Here is a 23455-nt window from a genome sequence, read left to right as displayed (position 1 = left end):
GGCACAACTTTAAGAAATTGTCACATCTGAACATAAAGTCCTGAGCTCCAGAGCAGGAAAGAAATTAGTTTGAGACAATAGGGCTGTGAAGACTGACCAAAGTATATAGTTGGGACATAAGCTTAAATTGGATTCTTGAAGAAGATGATGTCCCAAATCTTTCTTGATCTGCTTTCCTTAGTTAATTTAGCTTTCCAAGTTAAGCTGAGACCTCTTTTCTCTTTTGTCTTCCTGCTTTCACCTGTCCTTAGAGAAGGGACAGCAGACAGCCTGGCTCTTAGAGCAAATGCTTCTCATAGAGATGCTATTAGGAAATAGGTACCTCCTTCCTCAAGAGTTCTAGTTGTTGGGGTTTTAAGTCACGTAACTGTACATATTAGCAGGTAATAAGGGACAGGATGAAGGAGGGATGACCTTTAAACTCTTTGGATTTGATCTGCTTATATTAATTTTAGGGACGCAACTTCAGGATCTATAAATGATATTCAGGAATTCCTTTCATTGTACTTCTTGGCTGAAAGAGGTTTTGGTAATCGTGTTTGAACATGTAATTTATTCCTAAAAAACAAGGGTGTTTGCTTTGTGGAAATGAGAAGGCAATCAAAATAACCACCCACCGTATATTGAGCAACCAACCACAGTGTGTTAGGCATCATATTAGGATCAATACAGATACAATCAGAGTATTTTTTTTTTTTTTTTTGGAGACAGGGTCTTGCTTTGTTGCCCTGGCTGGAGTACAAGGGTGTAAGCATGGCCCACTGCAGCTTCCACCTCCTGGACTCAAGCTATCCTGCCATCTCAGCTTCCGAGTAGCTGGGACTGTAGGCACACACCACCATACTTGGCCAAATGAAAAAAAATTTTTTTTGTAGAGTCAGGGTCTTGCTGATCATTTGATCTCGAACTCCTCGGCTCAGGGGATCCTCCTGCCTTGTCCTCCCAAAGTACTGTGGTTACAGACTTGAACCACCTCACCTGGCCACAATAATCTTAATTCTGTGAAGTGAGTAGTGTTATTCCTAATTTACATTTGAGGGATTTTCAGCTCAGACTTGGCAGAGGTCTACCACTTACTATAACCCTGGCTGGTGTTCAAACTTAAGTCATTCAGATATCAAACCCATGCTCTTTTTTAACTACGCTAGTTATAGGTAGAACATTAAATGAGATGTAGATTATTTAGCACACTGCTGGAACTGCAATTTGATACATATATTTTGTTGAAAGTGGGTGAATAGCACTAGCTTTATATGTGAGTAATCATACTCTATGGTTGGGCTGTGTAAAACTTTTTATTAGGTGACTGTACAATGTTTATTTCAGATAGTGGCTTAAAAGCCACTTTTGTATTTATCCACCTGAATTATGCGCCTGTCAGTATACTGTTAACAGATGTCAGAATATGGTTTTTTTATGTGATTGCAGAGGGAGACTTCAATTCAGAATTTTATCCTTCATAACATTATAGTGATTTTAAAAGTTATATGCAGCAAATGTGTAGTATTTTTCTCATTTCAACTTTCACAGCAGTAGGCAGGTGGTTGTATCCCTTTTTTTATAGATTAGAAAAGTGGGACTCAGGAAAAGTTAGTTCACTTGTTGGAAATTCTGCAGCATATTAGGACTTAAATTCAGGTTTTCTGACTAAGAATCTGATGTTCTTTTTTATTTACATCATGTATATTGCATGCTCTTTATGTCAGGGCATGGTAATCAGATGATACATGATAGTCTGTGGCCCATTCAGTGTAGGCTTTGTTTTCCCCTGAATTTCTACTTCAAACATGCTTATCTGGCCGCTGTTTATGCAACTACTTTAAAAAAGGAACCATAAGGGAAAAATGAAGTCATACAGGAGAAAAACAGAAATGTAATTGTAGCCACTGATACAACCAAGCTCCTGTTTCCACTTTCTCTGGTCTTTTTGGGATTTTCTCCTTTTTGCCGTTACCCTGCCCTTTGATCCTATGTCCTTGCTTATGCTTGTTTTCATCAAGAAGAGTCTCAATGATATGCAGTAGAAAGAAACCATGGTCTGCTGTTTTGTGAAGAGTAGTGTGCCTTGACTTGGGGGTACAGGAGGAAGAGGAATGCAGAGGAGTGAGGATCATGGGAAAATGTTGAACTTTTCTGTTGGAGTTTCTTCGCCACTATGAAGGAAAACATTTTCCCATTAAAATAGAAATACTAGAATCATATACATAACATTTTTGGAATTTAATCCAAAACTTCATCTGTTCCGTTAAAACATACATAAAGAAAAGGAGTAATAAAATAGGTTGGGACTAATAAGCAGCAGATTATATTACTAAGATTTTTCACTATTACTGTAGTTAATTAGTTAGGTCTGGCTGATTATGGCTTTTAGAGCAAAGAATAGGATGAGGAAAATGCAGCTGTTTTATTATCACTAACAGAGATGTGGTGAACAATCCTCTTAGATGTTAAAAACGAAACTGACCCAGGAAGAGAGCCCTCATCAGTACCAGACCATGCTGGCATCCTGATCTCAGACTTTCAGCTTGTAGAACTGTGAGAAAATAAACTTATGTTATTTAAACCTAAATACATAAGTACACCTTTATCTCCTTTTTCCATTCTCTTTGTATGCTTGGGATCCAGGATACACAAATTGAAGTTACTTGTTTAATGATTTTATAACTATGTCAGAATTTAAGTTAAAAGTGAGTTACTCTGTATGTAGAAAGGCTGAAAATAGTACAACTGCAGTAATTCTGTCAGCTATAAGGGACGTGTGGACTGAGAGGGTAGTCTTAATAGATTGTGATCAACTATATGTGAAAACATTTTGTGTAGTGAGTTGATGTGTAGTTTACATGTAAACTAACTCCTTTAGTTCGAAAGGAATTTTATTTTACGTTAAAAGATTATTTTAGGCTGGGCTTTAGTGGCTCACGCCTATAATCCCAGCATTTTGAGGGGCTGAGGCAGGAGGATCGCTTGAGCCCAGGAGTTCAAGACTGGCTTGGGCAAATGGTGAGACTTTGTCTCTAAAAAAATTAAAAAATTAGCCAGGCATGGTGGTGCGAGCCCATGGTCTCAGGTGGGATGATTGCTTGAGCCCAGGTGATAGAACAAAACCCTATCTCAAAAAAAAAAAAAAAATTTTTTTTTTGTATGTATGTAACTCTTTACTTATCTACTACCTAATAATCCACAAAAATACCCACAAATCCTTAATTACGTGGAGGAGGAGGAGATGATAATAGAGATCATTTTAACTTTGAAAGATAATGGATTCCGGGCCAGATGTGGTAACTCACCCCTGTAATTCCCAACACTCTGGGAGGCTGAGGTGGGACGATAGCTTGAGTCCAGGAATTCAAGACCAGCCTGGGCAACATGGCAATACCTCATCTCTATTAAAAAAAAAATTATTAAGAAAGAAAGGGGCCAGGTGCGGTGGCTCACGCCTGTTACCCCAGCACTTTGGGAGGCTGAGGCGGGTGGATCACAAGGTCGAGGGATTGAGACCATCCTGGCCAACCAACATGGTGAAACCCTGTCTTTACTAAAAATACAAAAATAAGCTGGGTGTAGTGTTGCATGCCTTTTAGTCCCAGCTACTTGGGAGGCTGAGGTAGGAGAATCGCTTGAACCCGGCAGGCAGAGATTGCAGTGAGCCGGGATTGTGCCACTGCACTCCAGCCCGGGCGACAGAGCGAGACTCCGTCTCAAAAAAAAAAAAAAGAAAGATAATGGATTTGGTTCTGCCATTAGATCTGGGTTGGATCCTGGGTCTGCTATGGTTTCTGTATCCTTAGTCCAGTTTCTTAATTTCTTGAGTCGTCAGTTGCTCCGTTTATAAAATGGTGTTCAGTGATACCTGTGTTTTTAGCTTCTCAGGCTTGTTGTGAGGTGAACATATAATGTTTCATGTAAAGCACCTTTTAGATGGTAAAGCGCTATGCAGAACTGTTCTTAACTATTACTTCTCCCATTTAAAAAATTTGCTATCTTTCTGATTCTTTTAAGAATTCTGTGCTTTCCCTGTCTCATTCCCCTCCGATAAACTGGAGAAAAAAGGGCTTAGAATGATCACCCATTTTTTTACCTAACCACTTTTCCTGCATTTACACATTTTTTTTTAAAAGAGAAGAAATAACATTTTTTTAAGAGAAAAAAGTCCCAGAGAGATTAACTTCTTCAAGGTCATAGAGCTGGTGACAAAATCAACAGACCTTTGATTTAGTTCATTCATATCTGTAACTTTATACATATTTCTACTTAACTAATTTTGGCATATTTTACGCTTTTTTTTTTTTTTTTTTAAAGGACAGGGCCTAACATGCCCAGGCTGGAGTGCAGTGGTGCAATTATGGCTTACTGCAGCCTCCAGCTCCTGGGCTCAAACAATCCTCCCACTTGAGTCTCCGTAGTAGCTGGGACTACAGGCATGTGTCACCACACCTGGATAATTTCTTAAATTTTTTTGTAGAGACGGGATCTCGTTATGTTGTCTAGGCTGGTCTAGAACTGTTGGCCTCAAATGATCCTCCTGCCTTGGTCTCCCAAAGTGCTGGCTCATGCCTGTAATCCTAGCACTTTGGGAGGCCAGGGTGGGCGGATTTGCTTGAGCCCAGGAGTTCCAGACCAGGGGGCAACGTGGTGAAACCCATCTCTAAAAACAATACAAAAATTAACCAGGCATGGTGGCACATGTCTGTAGTCCCAGCTTCTTGAGGGGCTGAGGTGGGAGGATCGCTTGAGCCTGGGAGGTAGAGGTTGCAGTGAGCTGTGATTGCACCACTGCACTTCATCCAGCCTGGGTGACAGCGAGAGCCTGTCTCAAAAAAAAAAAAAAAAAAGTGCTGGGATTACAGGTATGAGCCATCGCACTGGGCCTCTGCCATTTTTGAGAATATGCTTGAACATTCGAGACTTTCTTCTCCCTTTTGCTTCTGTCATTCTACATGTTGGCTTATCTGACATTCTAGTTTAAATTTTTCTCCTACCTAATTTTCTTAAATGTTCTTTATCCATCTGTCTTTCCTCTGATACTATTTAAAGCCGTTTGCCCTGAAGTAGGCCTACCCTCTCTTGTTTCTTTAGTAGGAGCTGTCTTCCCACTCTGTGTTTCTGAGTGACAGTTTACTCCTGTTTTCCTTTCCCTTTTCTCTCCCATCAGGCTTGAAATCTTTGTTCTTCTTCCATGTTTTCTGAAGCCTGTGCCTTTCTGATATGCCTTTGGATTGATGTTGTCAGCTTAGTTGTTTTTGTTTAATTTTTCACTTTAGGCCTTTAAAGCTACCCCAACTATTTCAGTCTCCCTTTTATTCTAGCACATTCTTGGGCAGTTTCTTTTTCTTAGATTTTACTTCTGTGCTTACATTCCACCTTCTTTTCCACTGTGCCCTCGTTTCCACACTTGGAACATTGTCTGTGACTACATGATGGCATTCAGATAATTTACTAAGTCCATTTTCAGAGCTTGTCTTTGCCTTTTATTTCAGCTAAATCTCTTCTAAAAAAAAATTGATATAGATGGTTAACCAAAATCTTCTCTTACAACAGTTTATTTCATGCCTTATTTCGTAGTCAAAACTCAACTTTTCTGCCACCTTTGTACTTCATAATCACATTTTTCCATAACCAATTCAGAATTAGTTTCATTTCTGAAGAGCTTGGACAGTGTCTGTTGACTTGAGATCCCCATAAAGTTTTCATGAGTTTGGAATTCTCTTTTTTCTTATTCAGTGTTCCAGGTCCCATTTCTTTACCAAAGCAAAATACGTGTACTCTTTACCCTTTGTTATATTTTCTGAGTCCTGTTTTGATACTATTTTCACTCATTTGTTCATTCAACAAATGTTGAGTACCCTGCACATACAGGCCCTGTTCTAGGAGCTAGGGTGTCCTGAATAACAACAAAAAGCCCCCCTTCTCATGGACCTTATCTTCTAGTTGGAGGAAGTGTGGGGTGGGGAGGGACAGTCAATAAACAGATGTACAAGTAATACATGGCACGTTAGGTGGTAAATATTAAGATGGAGAATAAGATAAGGACAGAGTGACTAGGGAGTACTCTTTTAGATAAGATTGGTAAAATAAGGTGACATTTAAATAGTGACTTGAATGAAGTGGGAAATTAGTTATGTGGATATGTGGAAGAGGAGCATTTTCAGGAATGGTATTAAATAGCAAATACAGAGGCCCTAACTTGAAATGTGTTTGGTGTGTTCAGAAAACAGCAAGCACGGCACTTTGGGAGGTCGAGGTGGGCGGATCACTTGAGGTCAGGAGTTCGAGACCAGCCTGGCCAACATGGTGAAACCTCACCTCTACTAAAAATACAAAAATTAGCCAGGCGTGATGACATCCGCCTGTAGTCCCAGCTACTCTGGAGGCTGAGGCAGGAGAATTACTTGAACCCAGGAGGTGGAGCTTGCAGTGAGCCAAGATGATGCCACCGCACTCCAACCTGGGCAGCAGCGTGAGACTCTGTCTCAAAAAAAGAAACAGAAAACAGCAAGGAAACCACTGTGGTTTTAGTGGAAGGAGTAAAGGATATGTGATTGATGTAGTAGGATAGGAAATGAGATCAGTTTGTGTAGGATATATTCTGGATATATTTTGAAAGTAGAATCAAATGAGATTTGCTGATACATTAGATGTGGGGTATGAAAGAATGGAAGAGTCATGAATGACTTAAAGGGTTTTGGCTTGAGCGATTGGAAGGAAATTATTGTTTTATTTTGACCTAAGTCTTCTGCTTTTCTTCTCTTGCCCCCACTTTTTCAGTGTTGCCATTTATGATAGCTTGCTGACACTTACTTCCCAGCCAAGCAACAAGAAAAAAGTTATATGTTCTATATTTTCACATTCCTTCAAATTGGCTGTGCTAGCTACTACTACTGTTGACCTTCTAGCCCCATCCTTTCTTCTCTAGAGGTTTTAAGGTTTCTCTGTGCAGTATGCTTGTATCAGCTCTACCAGTGGAACCGCCTTCAGGAATTATTGCAGGAAACCTTGCAACACTTTTAGTGTTGTCTATAAGTATGTCTGTGCTTCCTTGCATGAACCACTCATTCAAGATGGCTTGTGAATCCACGTAAAAAGAAATATACGAAGTTTGAACTTTAGGGGAACATTAGAGAAAATTGAATGGTTCAACATAAGGGAAGCATAGATTTAGATTCAATGTCAAAATGAAGTCAGAAATAAAACATCTTCATTTAAACCTACTGTTGAAAATAAAACTGTTACAGAAAATTGGGAAGAATGGAATTACCGTAAAATATCAAAAATAGTTCCACTGACTTATCAATACATGACTGTATGATACACATGACTATATGATAGCTTCCTAAAGTAGTGAAGAAGAAGAAAGTTACTGATAGCTTAGGGACTGTATTGGATGATCTGTGAAGATATCAGTGTTGTATGAGCCTTTCATCCCTTTGATGTGGAGCCTGGCATTGGAATTGCAAATAAAAGTACCAAATATAAAATAATACTGGTACTATTAAAATTAGAATATACTATCCAGGCCTTTTTTTTTTTTTTTTTTTTTTTTTTTTTTTTTTTTTTGAGATGGAGTCTCACTCTGTCACCCAGGCTGTAGTGCAATGGCGTGGTCTTGGTTCACTGCAACCTCTGCCTGCAACCTCTGCCTTCTGGGTTCAAGTGATTCTCCTCCCTCAGCCTCCTGAGTAGCTGGGACTACAGGTGCCCACCACCACACCTGGCTAATTTTTTTGTATGTTTAGTAGAGACAGGGTTTCATTATGTTGGCCGGGCTGATCTTGAACTCCTGACCTCGTGATCCGCCCACCTAGGCCTCCCAAAGTGCTGGGATTACAGGCATGAGCCACTGTGCCCGGCCTACTATCCAGGACTTTTGAGCATAGGAAGCCTTGCTTTTGATTCTAAAGTGAGAGAGGGTCACAAAAGTATGGGTAAACATTAGATTGTCAGGTATGAAATAATTTTTAAAAATTAAAACCAGAAACATGAAACATGAACTCCAGAACCCAGGAAGCTGTAATCTCATCTCAATTCAGTTTAAGGCTAATTTTTATGTAATAACACCTTAATAGGAAATGTCAAATCTAAGAAGTAAATTGAAAAGGACTAATCATAAGTTTGGGGAATAAAAAGATTGACCATTGTGTTTGTCTGTTTTCACACTGCTGTGAAGACCTGAGACTGGGTAATTTATAAAGAAAAGCAGTTTAATTGACTCACAGTTCCACATGGCTGGGGAGGCCTCAGGAAACTTACAATTATGGCAGAAGGCAAAAGGGAAGCAAGGCATGTCTTACGTGACAGAAGGAGGCGGGGAGAATTGTCAAACACTTTTAACATAAGATCTCATGAGAACTCACTATCATGAGAACAGCATGAGGGAAACTGTCACCATGATCCAGTCACCTCCCACCAGGTCCCTCCCCTGACAATGGGGATTATAATTCAATATGAGATTTGGGTGAGGAGACAGAGCCAAACCATATTAACCATCTCTCTGAATTTTTTCTTATTAATATTGATATTTCCAATTTTCCTCTATAAATGGTGACTAGGAGCTTGGCTTCTATAGTTTTGTTATATAATTACCCTTTAATTCTATCTCAAGGCATATTTTACCTGTGTGATGTCTTCTACCAATTTCTGTTAGGTCTACTCTGAAATGGATGCCTTGAAAATTGCTTTTTAGCTAAAAAATTTAGTGATTCCCCGCCCCCCACCCCTTAGACCAGATATTTTTACTGCTGCAATAGCTCTATTAACCACCCCACCTTTAAAATCTTTGGCTACCCATTTACTAGCCTGGGTCTTATCCTTTCAGTTGTTTTTTCTTATATTTTTCAGTTTTCTTTTTTTCCTCAACTTACAATGGTAGTTTTTTTTCCTAAAGTTCAGTTCACTTTCTGTTCATGACTGTCAGAAGATGTGTATGTAGAAGGAACTTGAACATCTATATTTCTAGATTTTTCTTCTTAGTTTGTAGTAGTCATTTATTGCTACATAACAGATTACTCCAAAGTTTAGCAGCTTAAAACAACACACATTTGTTATGTCATACTTTCTGTAGACAAGGAATTGGGCACAGTCTAGCTACATCTTCTGCCTCACTATTTCTCACAGGCTGCAGTCAGGACATTGGTCAGGGTGTGTGGTCTCCTTCTAAGGCTTGAATGGGGAGGGATCTGCTTCTAGCCTCACTCAGTGGTTATTGGCACCATTAAGTTCTTGGCAGGTTGTTGGACTGAGGGCTTCAGTTTCTTGCCACGTGGGCTTCCCTAACATGACAGCTTTCTTCAATAAAGTATGCAAGCCAAAAAGGCAATAGTGTCTGCTGGCAAGACTGAAGTCCCAGTCTTGTAATCTGATGATGGAAGTGACATCCCATCACTTGTGCTGTATTCTTTTGCAAGAAGCAAGTCATTAGGTGACTTTCCATTCCATATGTGTGAGGAATCATACAAGAATATAAATACCAGTTCTTACGTCAGTTCTTCCTTGGCAGTGTCTGCCCCTTAAATGTTACTATTCTTTATGATCTGTGGTTTGTCTTCTCTTTTTTTCCCTCTAGTCTACACTTTTTTTCCCCCTGGGTTATCTTATGCGCTCATGGAAGCACAAGTTCTTAAACTAGTTTGCCTGTGTTGAAGCTCTTCTGCTACTTAATTGCTCTCTGATTTTAGACACATTTTCTAACCTAAAGCATTAATTTCCTCATCAGTATGATAGGAGTTAATAACAGTACTTAATCCAATAGGTCTATTTGAGGACAGGTGAGAAAATAAAGAAATACTCAACAGATAATCAGTGCTCAATTAGTATTAGCTGTAACTGTAACAAATAATAGTAATAACAACAATCATGACTTCAGCTATTAGGATTTGTTAAAGATTCCTTCGTCTGTCTCTTACTTTGGCATCTGTAGAGGACTGACAGACATTTCTACCTGAATTTTCTGGAAGTATTGCAAACTCAATGTGATTAAGACTGAAGTTTCCTCTTGTTGGAAGGAATGAGGATTGGTAAGCCTGTCTGATGGGGGAGATGGAGGAACAGATTTAAAATTGATCCTGTGAACTTCATTTAGTTATTCAACAGCTATTTACTGAGTGTCTGATCTGTGTTAGGCACTGAAGGTACCACAGTGCCCAGGTCAAAGTAATTCTCTCTGCCTTTCTGGAGTCTTAACTGTGTGAGGGAAATACAATGTTGAACCTGTAATTCCCAGTGCTATGTTTATGAGATGGAAGTACAGGATCCTATTGGGATCACACAAGAGGAGACCTAACTTGGTCTGCAGGCCAGGAGAGGTTTTTTTTTGTTTTTTTTTTTTTTTAAGAAATTAGGCTAAGACTTCTAAAGGTTAAGTTGGAGTTAAGTCTATTGAAAGTCTCCAAGTCTGGAAACAGCATGATGTTTTAGAAGAACATACTTTCCTTTATCAGTTTGAAAATTTTGCTTATTTAAAACTAATTTCCTATTAGTCTCTTGTTCCTCATTCCCATTTACACTCTTCATTGCTGTCCTGGATTATTACAAAAGCCTGTTTGTTTGTTTTTTTTCTTTTTGTATCTTTCTAGTTCATTCTGTCCATTGCTACTTTTTTATAAAGAACATTTCACTACCATATACTTTCTGTTCCAGCCACAGGAACCTGTTTGCAGGTCCCTGAACCTACCTTCATTTTCTAGTGCTGTGCATTTCCTCATTTCTTTCGTTTGGAAAGTGGTGAGAAGGTCCTCTAACTTGCTTCTTGCCCTCATTTCTCTAAGCAGAGCTACAACTTTGTCCTGTCTGTTCCTCTGGCACTTCCCATCACCGTGATAGCATACTTCACTGTGGCTGGTTTCCATTCCCATTTCCTCTACTATAGTGAGCCACTTGAGGCGAGAACCCTTGTATTTCCAACATTGGTGTACTCAGCATCTTGCGTCGAGGACTCAGTAAGTATTATATTTGAATTCCCACTGCACCGCTCTAATTAGAATTTTAAAAATCACTTTCTATCTGGATTGTTACACACTTTTTTTCCCCTTAATTCATTTTTCTCCATGTACTACCCATATGCATCCTATATAAATTTACCAACACTCATAAAAATCTTACTCAGAAATCTTCAGAGGTTTGCTAAGGATACAATTTGATTCTTACACATTTAATGCTCACCAGCTGCTTAGGCCCACACCATTTATCCACCCTGATTTGCTACTGCTCTTTGAAATACAACCAGTGTTTCAGCCAGACTGTTTTCCTGCTTCTGCTCCCCTTCTCCTCCTCCCAGCACATCTGTGAATTCTTTGACTGGTTTACCACTCCCACACTCCTCCCCAGCAATGCAGATCTTCTACACCCTTTAGGATCTAAGCTAAGTCTGCTTCCCAGATATCCTCCCGAACTCTGAATGTCCTTTGATCTCTCTTTTCTCAAAAACCTTTTATACCTTTTATTCCCAAATTATCTTCTCTAGAAATCTGTAAGGGCAGGGGAAGGAAAGGTTTTATACTATTCTGTCTTCGGCAGAGGACTTTTATTATTGCTTGTTACGTACAGTATTAGTCATATCTTGCTAACACTCAGTGAACTGCCCTCAGCTGATCCTCTGCCCTGTACCTCACCTCTGCTTTACCACCTTTCCATCCGATTTCTAAAACTGTAGTGGGACTTTTTAAAAAGTGTGTGAGAGTTTTAATCCTGTTGTGGTAAACTCGCCTTTCTTTGCTTGCTATACTGTTTCTAGTCCCTATTTTCCAGATAAAAATAGCCCAGGTCAGCATGGCTTGCACTATTTTTAACTCCAGGTACTAGGAGAAAGGTTTGCTCTAAAGGTGAAATGAAGTTTTATGACGTTGCTTAGGCCAAAAGTCAGTTGATGAGGTTATGAACTGCAATAGAACTTTACACATCCATGAATCTAATGGAGAGGGCCTGCATATCTTATGTCCCTCACCCCTACCAATGGTGTGTGAATCCTTCAAAACAAAACAGCATAATAGACATAATGTTGAAAGTGACTTCTTTATATACCCTTTTTATAAGACCTAGAAGAAAAAAGCTTGTAGCTAGAAAGCAGATGCAAAGTTCAACATTGATACCACGTTGATGTGCAGAGTAAAATTTTCAAGAGCAAAATTTTAAGCTTCTAAAATTATCATGGATTTGATTTGGTTTTCGAACTGTAATTTACTCAAAATGTCAATTACGTGGAAGGAGGTTTAAGAGTTGTATTTAACAAAAGAGGGCATGAGTTAATTAAGTTGAGAAATATTTCTTTTATGATGAGAAAACCTTTTGGCCTTAACCACATTTCTAGATTCAAGGATTTAATCAACGTGGGAGAAGCAGTTGCTTTAACTAGATTAAAAGAGGGCCATGGTGGAGTGTAGATAAATAGAAATCTGGCAGTGTAAAGGTCATTTGAATCTGGTTTTCTCACACATTCAAACATTTTTATCCTTAAAACAAAAATGGCAGTTTGACCTGCCAGTTTTGCTTAGTTTTGATGCTTAAAATGTATTTTTATTCTCTGATTACAGAGTTGGTAAGGAAAGTAGCCTAAGAAATATTTACCACAGATGATTTATGTGCAAAGAGTGGTTGTAGTTTTGGGTGGTTACAACCCAAAGTATTTTGGAATAAAATGTCTTGAATAAAGAAATTTTGGGCTAAAGGTCATGTGTGATAATAAAATAACACCCTTTTCCGATAGCTTAGAAGTTTTTTCCAAGGCGGTCATATAAGCTAGCGTCTCACAACTTTGTTTTGCTGCTGGACCCCTTTCAGAATCTAGTGGGAGCGGTGCACTTTCTCACACTCAAAATGAACATAGTACACACAATGTTCTGCTTGTAATAAAGCCCCTCCATAGACCCTATGTTAAAAACCCCGTTAGAGTTCCAAAAAACCATACCAAAACTAAACATTTTTAAGCATTTCATATCACGTTATGGTAGAATAAGGTTTCTGTGTGTGTTCAGTTCTTGCTCCCTCCCTGCCTTTAGAACTATGGTTTGAGTTTCTTTTCCCCCATAAATAATGGTATGTATATCCTATGGACTTCTGGAAGATATATGCCTTATACAGTCTGGCTATAGAACAAAACAAAGTTAACCGGTATATACCAGGATGGAAACTACCATATAGTGATAATGTCTTCTCTGGAGGGCATACCTCTCCAGACACATTTGCTAGGTTAATTCTTGCTTTAGAATTCTAGATGTGCAGTTGTACCATAAAAGACTGAGAGTCTTTATCACTAATAATTAACACTGGCTTATGATTCTCTTTTTCCTCTTGTCCTTTTAACCCTGTCCTGTCCCCTGCTCCCACTGCCTCTGTTCTCGTTTGTTTTGCATTTTTGTTTTTCCTTGTAACTGGCATTTCAGTAGTATTAACCTGAAATTTTTTTTTTTTTTGAGACGGAGTCTCTCTGGCTCTGTCGCCCAGGCTGGACTGCAGTGGTGCAATCTTGGCTCACTGCAAGTTCCGCCTCCCGGGTTCATGCCATTCTCCTGCCTCAGCCTACCTGAATTAAAAAAAAAAAAAAAAAAAGCCTTAGTAATAGTAGTGCTCCGCGGCTGGGGAATTGGGTGGGGGTGGGGGGTGGGGGGTGCTTACTAACTAAAATGAAACTAGAATTCATACTAGTTTTTTTATATTAAAATAGTTTCTATAATGGTTAGATCTGAAACATCTCTGGATAGTTTTGGTAGAAAGTATCTGCAGAATATGGAAGAATAATTTGTTCGTATTGACAATTTTCAGGAACTATGCTTTGATGTTGCATAGTAGCTGTAAGCTTTTTCTTTAATGTGTGCCTACTCTAGAGATTCTTGGTGTTTCTTCCTCTTAGAATTGTCTGGGGAAAGGGAGAACAGTAGTGTGGGGTGGGGAAGATGTTTGTGGACAGAAGCCAGGAATGGGAATAGGACCTGCTAGTATTGCCTTGGATTCTTGTCATCTGGCTCTCTACTACTGAGCAAGGCACTCAACAACTCTGCCAGTCTCTCCATCTATGAAATGGGAGTAATGCTGACCTAATTAACAGAAGAGTTGTTGAGTAGATGATTATTTGTAAAAGACTTTTTAAAAAAGTAGTTATATTGGCTGGGCATGGTGGCTCACACCTGTAATCCCAGCGCTTTGGGAGGCTGAGGTGGGCGGATCACGAGGTCAGGAGATCGAGACCATCCTGGCTAACATGGTAAAACCCTGTCTCTACTAAAAATACAAAAAAAGCCGGGCATGGTGGCGGGCACCTGTAGCCTGTAGTCCCAGCTACTCAGGAGACTGAGGCAGGAGAATGGCGTGAACCCGGGAGGCGGAGCTTGCAGTGAGGCCAGATAGCGCCACCGCACTCCAGCCTGGGCGACAGAACAAGACTCCGTCTCAAAAAAATAATAAATATAAATAAAATAAAAAGTAGTTTTATTTCTCAGCAGTGCCTTTTCAGATTAGGACTTGGTCTTAGTTGCCCTTAACTCTGTTCTTGGTGTTGGTTAACATTGTCATCAGAAGTTCAGATTCAATTTTAGATTCAGAATTCTTGACTTGGTTTTACTGGGATGTCAGAACCTTATTTTTAATTAAAGCGAATCTATTGTTGCTTAGGCAGTTGGCACATAGATTTGGCACTGTGAGAAAGGAAATAGTGTTCAGTTGATAAGGGCATCTTGAACTGAATTTCAGATAGTTGTGTTACTTAATGGGTAATGAAATAACTCCAGCTGAGGAACACCTTGATTAAAAAATCTTTCTCTCCTCATGCCTTCTCCGTTAGCAGATTGAAGTCAAGTGGCAATATTTTATTTATAATCATGAATTTAATTATTTAAGCTATATTAAAAAAATTGAAACCCTTAGATGTTAATTAATTTTAAAAACTAGTGATGGATGCAGGTAAGCTAGAATGATTGGATCAAATCTCACACACAAATGAGTTTATTCTTTAAAAAAAAATTTTTTTTTTAGAGACGGGGTCTTGCTATGTTGCCCAGGATGGTCTTGAACTCATGACCTCAAGCAATCCTCCTGCCTCACCCTCCTGAATAGCTGGGATTACAGGCATGAGCCACTGTGCCTGGCCTTATTTTACAGGTCTTACTGACGTAAGCCCATATTTGATTTGTTTTACAGTTTGTTGATATTGCTTAGTATTTCTTTTATTTACTGTATAGTCTATAACTTAATAGGTAGCAGTAAAAACAAAATAATAAAAGTTATTTATTTTCCTCCTAAAATAATGGGGGGTATTTATGGCTTATTTACCCTTAATAATGTCTTTTAAGTGGCCATTATAAAATATGTAGAATTACTTTGGTGTCTGTGCTGTCAAATTTGGCTCATGTAGTAATTGTGCTCGTAGTAAAAAGTGTATTTTAAGCAGCCTGTGTTGTCCTTAAGAAATTTCATGTAGGTTCCACACTTTTTTCTAAAATTAATTATTCTTAACATTTTTAACAGTCAAAACTTGAAACCATTAAGATGTGAACTGCTGTATGTATTATAATAGGGAGTAGCTTTTTTAGTGTTGACATTGTATAAAATTAGTTATTTACAAAGATAGTAAAGCTTATTGTTTGAAAATAAGGAATTGAGGAAATGAAGTTAAACAACATGTATTCATACCTATGTTTTTCTTATAGAAATATATAATATCTAGGTATGTAGAAATGTAAACACTTTGAATTATACAATACTTTGAATAATTTAATAACAATATAGCTTAAATACTTGTAGTGTTATCTTTTCAGTTTGGGAATTGCATATATATTTTAACTGTAAAAATCTTTTTTTTTTTTTTTTTTTTTTTTTGAGATGGAGTCTGGCTCTGTTGACCATGCTGGAGTGCAGTGGCTCACTGCAACCTCCACCTCTTCCCAGGTTCAAGCGATTCTCCTGCCTCAGCCTCCCAAGTAGCTGAGTGCCAAGTACAGGCACGCACCACTGGGCCTGGCTAATTTTTGTATTTTTAGTAGAGACAGGGTTTCGCCATGTTAGCCAGGCTGGTCTTGAACTCCCAACCTCAGGTGATCCACCTCCCTTGGCCTCTGAAAGTTCTGGGATAGCAAGCATGAGCCACTGCACCCAGCCTGTAAAAATCTTACATGTCATGGGAAAGAGGCTGCTGCTTTGTTTATGACTTTATATAGTTTCTGATTATAAAAATAATACAGTGCTCCAAAGTAGATGAAGCAAAATCTGATAGAAATGAAAGGCACAATCAACAAATTACAATTATAGCTGGAAATTTCAATACTTCTTTCTCAGTAATTCTTAAATAGGAAATCAACAAGGATATAAAAGATTCTAACACTATCAACCAATTTGACCTGATTGACATCTGTAGAATATTCCTTGCATTAACAGCATAAAATACGTTATTTGCAAGTACATATGAGACATTTACCAAGGTACAACAGGTGCTAGGCCATAAAGCAGGTCTTAATAACTTAAGGATTGAAATCATACAGAGTATATTCTCTAACCACTATGAAATTAAATTAGAAATCAGTAATAAAATGAAATTTTGAAAATCTCATATGTGGAAATTAAACAGCGAATTTCTAAATAACCTATGGGTCAAAGAAGAAATAGATGTAGAGCAATGGTACAGGGTGAAGAGTTCAGAAATAGACCTACACTAACAATATCAATTGATTTTTTTTTTTTAATAAAGATACTAAGGAAATTCAGTACTGGCTAGGTTTTTGTTCTTTTTTTTTTCTTCTGTAAATGGTTTTGGAATACATGGCTATCTATGTGGAAAAAATAAACCTTGACCCTTATGTCCCACCATTTATAAAAATTAATTCAAAATGGATCACTGACCTAAATGTAAGACCTAGGCTGTGTGCAGTGGCTCATGCTTGTAATCCCAGAACTTTGGGAGGCCGAGGCCGGCAGATCACTTGAGGTCAGGGGTTCCAGACCAGCCTGGCCAACATGGTGAAACCCTGTCTCTACTAAAAATACAAAAATTAGTTGGATGTGGTGGCGTGCACCTGTAATCCCAGCTACTCGGGAGGGTGAAGCAGGAGAATGGCTTGAACCTGGGAGGCAGAGGTTGCAATGAGCTGAGATCGCACCACTGCACTTCAGTCTCAGTGACAGAGTGAGACTCCATCTCAAAAAAAAAAAAAAAGTAAGACCTAAATCCATAAAACTTTAAAAGAAAACATCAGAGAAAAATCCTTGTGACCTCAAGATAAGCAAATATTTTTTAGGACATAAAAAAGATGAGCCATAAAAGAAAAACACTGATAAATTAGACCATGTCAACATTAAAACGTTTTGCTTATCCAAAGATACCATTAAGAAAATGAAAAGACAAACCCTTTTGAGAGAAAATATTTACAAGCATATTCAACAGAAGACTTGTATCAGAATGTCTAAAGAATGTATTAATAAGAAGAAGAGAAACAACCCAAAAGAAAAATAGGCAGAAAAATTGAACAGCTTTTTCACAAAAGAAGATACAGGAATGGCCAAGTGCATGAAAAGATTCTCAACATCATTGGTTACCAGAAAAATTAAAAATTAAAACCACAATGAGATGCCACTATACATACACTAGAATGGCTAAAATTAAATATATTGATGATACCAAGTTTTGGCAAGGACATGGAACATGTGCAATCCTCATACATTCATTACTTGTGGAAATACAAAATGGTACAGCCACTTTGGAAAACGGGTTAGCCATTTCTCATAAAGTTAAGTATAAATTTATCATATGACCCAGGAATTCCACTCCTAAGTATCTATCAAGAGAAGTGAAAACACGTTCATACAAAGACTTGAATATTTTTATTCATTATCACCAAAAATAGGAAACAACCCAAATGTCCATCATCTGGTGAGTAAACAGAGTGTGCTTCATCATACAATGAGATACTATTTAGCAGTAAAATGAAGTGAACTAGTCTTTTATGCAGCAACTTCAGATGAATCTCAGAAACATCATGCTGAGTTAAAAATTGTAACATAAATTATTTAGCTCTTCATGGTTGAAGTTTGTACTATTTGTAATTTTTTTCTGTCACAAATAATCTGATGCCAACAATGCATTAGATATTCTTAAAGATGTATCTCTGTACATTTTAACAAGGTTTTTGTAAGAAAAATTTCTAGACTATAATTGCTGGGCTAGTGAACATTTTTATTTGCTTATATTGCCAACATTTATTGAATGCTTATTGTGTACCAAGCACTATTAGGTGCTCTTTCTACCCAGATTACCTCATTTAATTATCATAGCAACCATATGAGGTGCAGGTCATTACTATTTTCCTCATTCTATAATTGAGGTAACTGAGGCACAGAGAGATTTAAAAACTTGTTCCAAATCACACAGCTAGAAAGTTAGGTAAACCAGGATAGTTTGATTCTAGAGCTTAACTTCCTAGCTAAGACATGTGAAGTTAAGTTTCTATGCATCTTTTGAGGGGTGTTGTATTTATTTTCAGGTCTCCTACTTGATCTCACTGTATGCATTACAGAAATTTCTTGTTTATTTATTTGTTTATTTTGAGATAGGGTCTCACTCTGTTGCCCAGGCTGGAGTGCAGAGGCTCGATCTCTTAGCTCATTGCAACTTCCACCTTCTGGGCTGAAATGATCCTCCCATCTCAGCTCCTGAGTAGCTGTGAATCCAGATGTGCACCAGCATGCCTGGCTAATTTTTGTATTATTTGTAGAGATGGGGTTTCACCATGTTGCCCAGGCTGGTCTTGAACTCCTGACCTCAAGCAATCTACCCGCCTCAGCTTCCCAAAGTGCTGGGATTACAGGCGTGAGCCACCAGACATGGCCTCTCAATTTTAAAAGGTTAGGATGAGCCAAATATTTATTAAATGAGTCTTTCCCTTATTGAAGTAATTTCAGAAATGCACCATTGGAATGTTGTTTAATTTCAACAGGTACAAACTCACACTCAAGGAAAAACCCAGCCATTCACTCAAAGGAACATTATTTTGATAGTATTCAGATATCGTATACAAATCTTTTGAGCAGGTTAGTTTTTTCATGTAAATCATAACATATGGTATTGGTCAAGTAGTAAAGTTCATATTAACCTTAAACATTTACTAAGATACTGTTTTCAAGTAACTCAGGCAATGTATGCAGAGGGTGTCATAGTTTCTGTAAGTATATAAGTTTTGGATCAAGATCACATTAATGCCAGGGCCCCACTACAGATCTTCTGAATCAGAGATTCTGAATCTGAGGTGAAGACTCATAGCTCCTTAAAATTCCATGGAGAAAATATATATATACCTACTATTTTCCCACGAAAATAAAAAATTTAAAGACAATTTCCTGGAGATTCTAATTCACATTTGGGTCTGAGAATTCTTGTGTAGGGCATACTCTCCATTGTTAAAGGATACTAAAAAGTTACATCCTATATCTCAGATACCCAAAGGACATTTATTAAGTCTTATATACACCTCTCACAACCTATAAGCTTGCAAAGCAAAAAGGCCTTCTAATACCCCAAATTGGTTTATATTTTCTTGATAGTTTTAACCCTATAGATTAATATTCTCTTACCTTTTTCCCCAAGGCTTCTAAAAGTAGATGATACTATCTGTCTTTATGTGATAGTTGCTTGTTTGTTAACTTCTTTATGACATGTGCCTTCAAGTGATGTTCTAAAACTAAACTTTTGAAAGTTGTTATTCCCCTTGTAAAAGGGTCTGCCCTTTTCCCTCTCCTGTGTTTTTCTCCTTAACCATTTCGTAGTGCCCACAGGTAGCGTGGTATATATTGGTCAAGAATGTAGGATGCAAAGGGGGGTTGCCTAGATTTAAAACCCAGCTCTGCCATTGGCTGGTTGTATGATGCTAGCAAGTTATCTGCCTTCTCATATTTATTTCATGGGATAGTAATAGTACTTATGTCATGATTATTGAGAGAAGTAAATGAGCTAATATATGTAAAGCACTGTACCTGGCACATAGCCATTAAAATTACCACCTGCTTCTACTCGCCTCTCCCCTGTTGGCTTTATTCTCCTCTGTTGGCTTACATGATACTGTACTGCCATGGCTTTCTGTGATCTCTTGAACCATTCCTTCTTTGCTGGTTTCCTTTCTTCTCACTAACTATAAATAGTATTTCTCTCTGGTTTTGGTGTCAACATTCTTCTCTATATGTAATAAGGATTATAGGCCTGTCAGGTAGACTGGGGTTTGAATTCTACCCCTGCCACATATTAGCTGTATGACCTTGGAATTTTAAATTTCCTCAATCCTTTCCAAACTTAGATTTCTAATCTGTAAAATAGGGGTAATTCCTTTATAGCAGGATTGTTGGGAGGATTAGAGATAATATAAAGTGCCCAGTATAGGGTCTGAAACACTGTAGTTGCTGAGTAATGGGATCTGCTGCTCCTGCTGTCTTTTCTAGCTTATTGATCTCATCCACTTCTGTATCTTCAGATACCGTCACTGAACTGTTGATGCCTAACTCTATTTCTCTAGTTAGATTTCCTTCTTGCACTGTTAAGGTGTATTTCAAACTGCCATTAAATGTTTTCTGTATGTCTTATTGGCATTTTAGAGTTTTCACACTTAATATCAGACTAATCCTACCCTATTATCTTCCTTCTGAAACCTGCTGTTTATCATGTGTTCCATATTTTTACTCATGTTCTTGATCTCCTTTTAGGCATGGTACCTTAGCATTGAATTGATTCATTCATTGTCTTTGAGTCTGTTTCTGGTTCCTCTCTGCGTTCTCACACCAAGGCTCAAATATCCATCTTTTGCTTCAGTTCTCACTACTATAGTTAAACCCTCACTTTATCGTGTGTGTATTTTTTCCCCCAGTAGCCGTGAATGTCATCTCCCTACCTCCATTATTCTTTGTTTTCCCCAATCTGTTCTTTACATTCATCTTTCTCTCTTATCAGATCCATCTTCCCAGAGTGGATATTAGGAGATTCTTTACCCCAAAGAGTCAAATAGTAGATAGTTTGGGCTTTGTGAGCCTTGCCGTCCTTGTTGCAACTGTTTAACTCTGCTGTTGTAACAGGAAAGCAGCCATAGAAATACGTGACCACGTAAGTGTGACTGTGTTCCAATAAAACTTTATTTACAAAAATGGGTGGTGGTCTGGGCATGGTGGTATGCACCTATAGTCCCAGCTACTTGGGAGGCTGAGGCAGAAGAATTGCTTTATCCCAGGAGTTCAAAGCCAGCCTGGACAACATAATGTGACCCCCATCTCTTTAAAAAAAAGAAAAAGATGTTGGACTAGACTTGGCCCACAGGCCATAGTTTGCTGACCCTTCCCTTCCTACCTTTCTTTCTTTCTTTCCTTTTAAATTACCATTCCTTCTAGTATTTCTTGAACTAATTATCTTTTTGAGATATTGACTGCAAGGTAGAATGAACTTTTAGCTCCCTATTTTCCTACTGTCATCTAAAATATTTCGGTTTTAAGTGTTTTGGTTCTCATCATTTGGAGAAGTACAAATTATGCAATTACAAAGATTCCAGAAATAATTCTCATAGCATTTGCCCTGAATAGTAGTTCCTGACTCTTTCTTAGATGCTACTAGGTGCATGTGTTATCAATACAGTCCTATATACTGTGGTTCTTTGGGGAGGTAGCTTTAGGTCTGATGGGCTTATCAGTTTCTTCAGAACCTGCTTTGACCTCTGTGTAGTAGTATTCCATTTCATCTGTCTTATCTCAGCCTTTCAGATTTCACTGACTGATGAAGGAACATTTCTATTTGGCCCCTGTATATTTCTCCTTAGGGTTTAGGTGCATTCTGTATCAGCTTTGTGGACACTTTCCTTATGTGCCCTTGGAGATCTTCTTGCAACATTCTAATTTATTAAGTTAAATATTTTTGAATACCTTCTGTAGAACTGTGCTGAAGACATAAAGACAAAACACAGTTCTAGCCTTAACAATCCTCATGTTTTGATGCAGGGGTCAGGTGACTCCCAAAGGGCCAGATCATAAATATTTTAGGCTGTGGGCTACATGGTCTCTGTTGCAACTACTCAACTCTGCTATTGTAATTTGAAAGTAGCCATAGACAGTAGATTGAGCTTGACTGTGTTCCAGTAAAATTTTATTTACAAAAATCAGTGGTAGGCCATATTTGGCCTGCAGGCTATAGTTTGTCAATCCCTGGTCTAGTGGCATTGTGCCAAGGGATATTTGAAGCCACAGGTAACCAGTGTGTCTTCCTTGAACGTAATTTTACTCAGTTATTGTGGAGAAAAAGTTAAGTAGTTTGATTTATATTGATTTAAAACATTCTTTTAATAACATAAGTGGCCACCCAAGGAATAGAATATAAAATCAAGATGACTATTTAAAATGAAACAGCCTTGCAAGAAATGTCTTGTTTGTAGCGAACCTCTTAGATCTGTAACTACAAACTCTTCTGCCATTTGTTGGATAAGCTTGAGAAGCACTGCTAGGCATTGGGAGCTATGGAAGGATTTAGAGGAGGGCAGTGACATCAGATTTTAATTTTAGAAAACTAACTTGAATGGAGTGTGGAGAATAGTTTGGAGAAGGGCATGGCAATTCTGGAGGGAGGGAGATAGATAAGAAGACTGTTAACAGGAATTGAAGCAAAAGATAAGAGCTTCTTTTAAGATGTAGGTATTGGAGGTAGAGAGAGTTATACAGATTAGAGACATAGCAAGAAGGTTTGATTTGATTGATTGTGTAGGGCAAGGGAAATGGAGAAGGATGAGTCAAGGATGATAGTTCTAAGTTTCCGTAGGGAGACTGGTTGAACAAGGATGCCACTCAGTAAAGGAAATAATACATGAAGAAGAGTAATGTGAAGGCCAGGGAAGACAGACAAATAAATTGCTTTGGAACTGTTAAGTTTGCTTTGCTTGTGGACATCCAGATGGAAATTGGTTTTATATGACTTAAGGCTCTGGAGAGCAACCTCGACTTACTGGGGTGGGCATGAGATTGAATGTAATTCTCCAGAGGAAAAGTTGTCTATAGCAAGGGTATTTGCTCATGACAGAAGCCAATGAGGGGCCGGGCTCGGTGGCTCACACCTGTAATCCCAGCACTTTGGGAGGCTGAGGGAGGTGGATCTCAAGGCCAAAAGATCGAGACCATCCTGGCCAACATGGTGAAACCCCGTCTCTACTAAAAGTACAAAAATTAGCTGGGCTTGGTGGCGCGTGCCTGTGGTCCCAGCTGCTTGGGAGGCTGAGGCAGGAGAATCGCTTGAACCTAGGAGGCAGAGGTTGCAGTGAGCCGAGATCCTGCCACTGCATTCCAGCCTGGCAACAGAGCGAGACTCCCCAATCTCAAAAAAGAAAAAAAAAAAAAGAAGCCAGTGAGGAAAAAACAAAAACTGCCTGGGTCAGTAGAGGAAGGGGGTGGGGATGTGTATTGAAAGAAAAGGAAGAAAACCAGAAGACGGGGGTGTTTTAGAGACCAAGAAATAATAGAGGTTCAAGAAGATGAA

The 23455-nt window shown here is 38.5% G+C and overlaps 1 protein-coding gene across 4 annotated transcripts in view, besides 1 other annotated feature; it reads left to right on the top strand.

Annotated features, from left to right (window-relative positions):
* EGLN1 (egl-9 family hypoxia inducible factor 1) overlaps positions 1-23455 on the top strand; it is a 58532-nt gene that overhangs the window by 2722 nt on the left and 32355 nt on the right. The window lies entirely within an intron of this gene.
* Positions 16695-16898: a silencer, noted in NCBI's record as "fragment chr1:231538414-231538617 (GRCh37/hg19 assembly coordinates)". NCBI's record gives its function as "represses an EF-1alpha promoter that drives an FKBP-Casp9 reporter gene in an ReSE screen in HepG2 liver carcinoma cells {active_cell/tissue: HepG2}" and the evidence as "EXISTENCE:reporter gene assay evidence [ECO:0000049][PMID:32094911]".

Source organism: Homo sapiens, chromosome 1 (genome assembly GCF_000001405.40).
Source record: "Homo sapiens chromosome 1, GRCh38.p14 Primary Assembly".
NCBI lineage: Eukaryota > Metazoa > Chordata > Mammalia > Primates > Hominidae > Homo > Homo sapiens.
The sequence above is the reverse complement of the archived record's forward strand: the minus strand, read 5'-3'. Positions and strand labels throughout refer to the sequence as shown.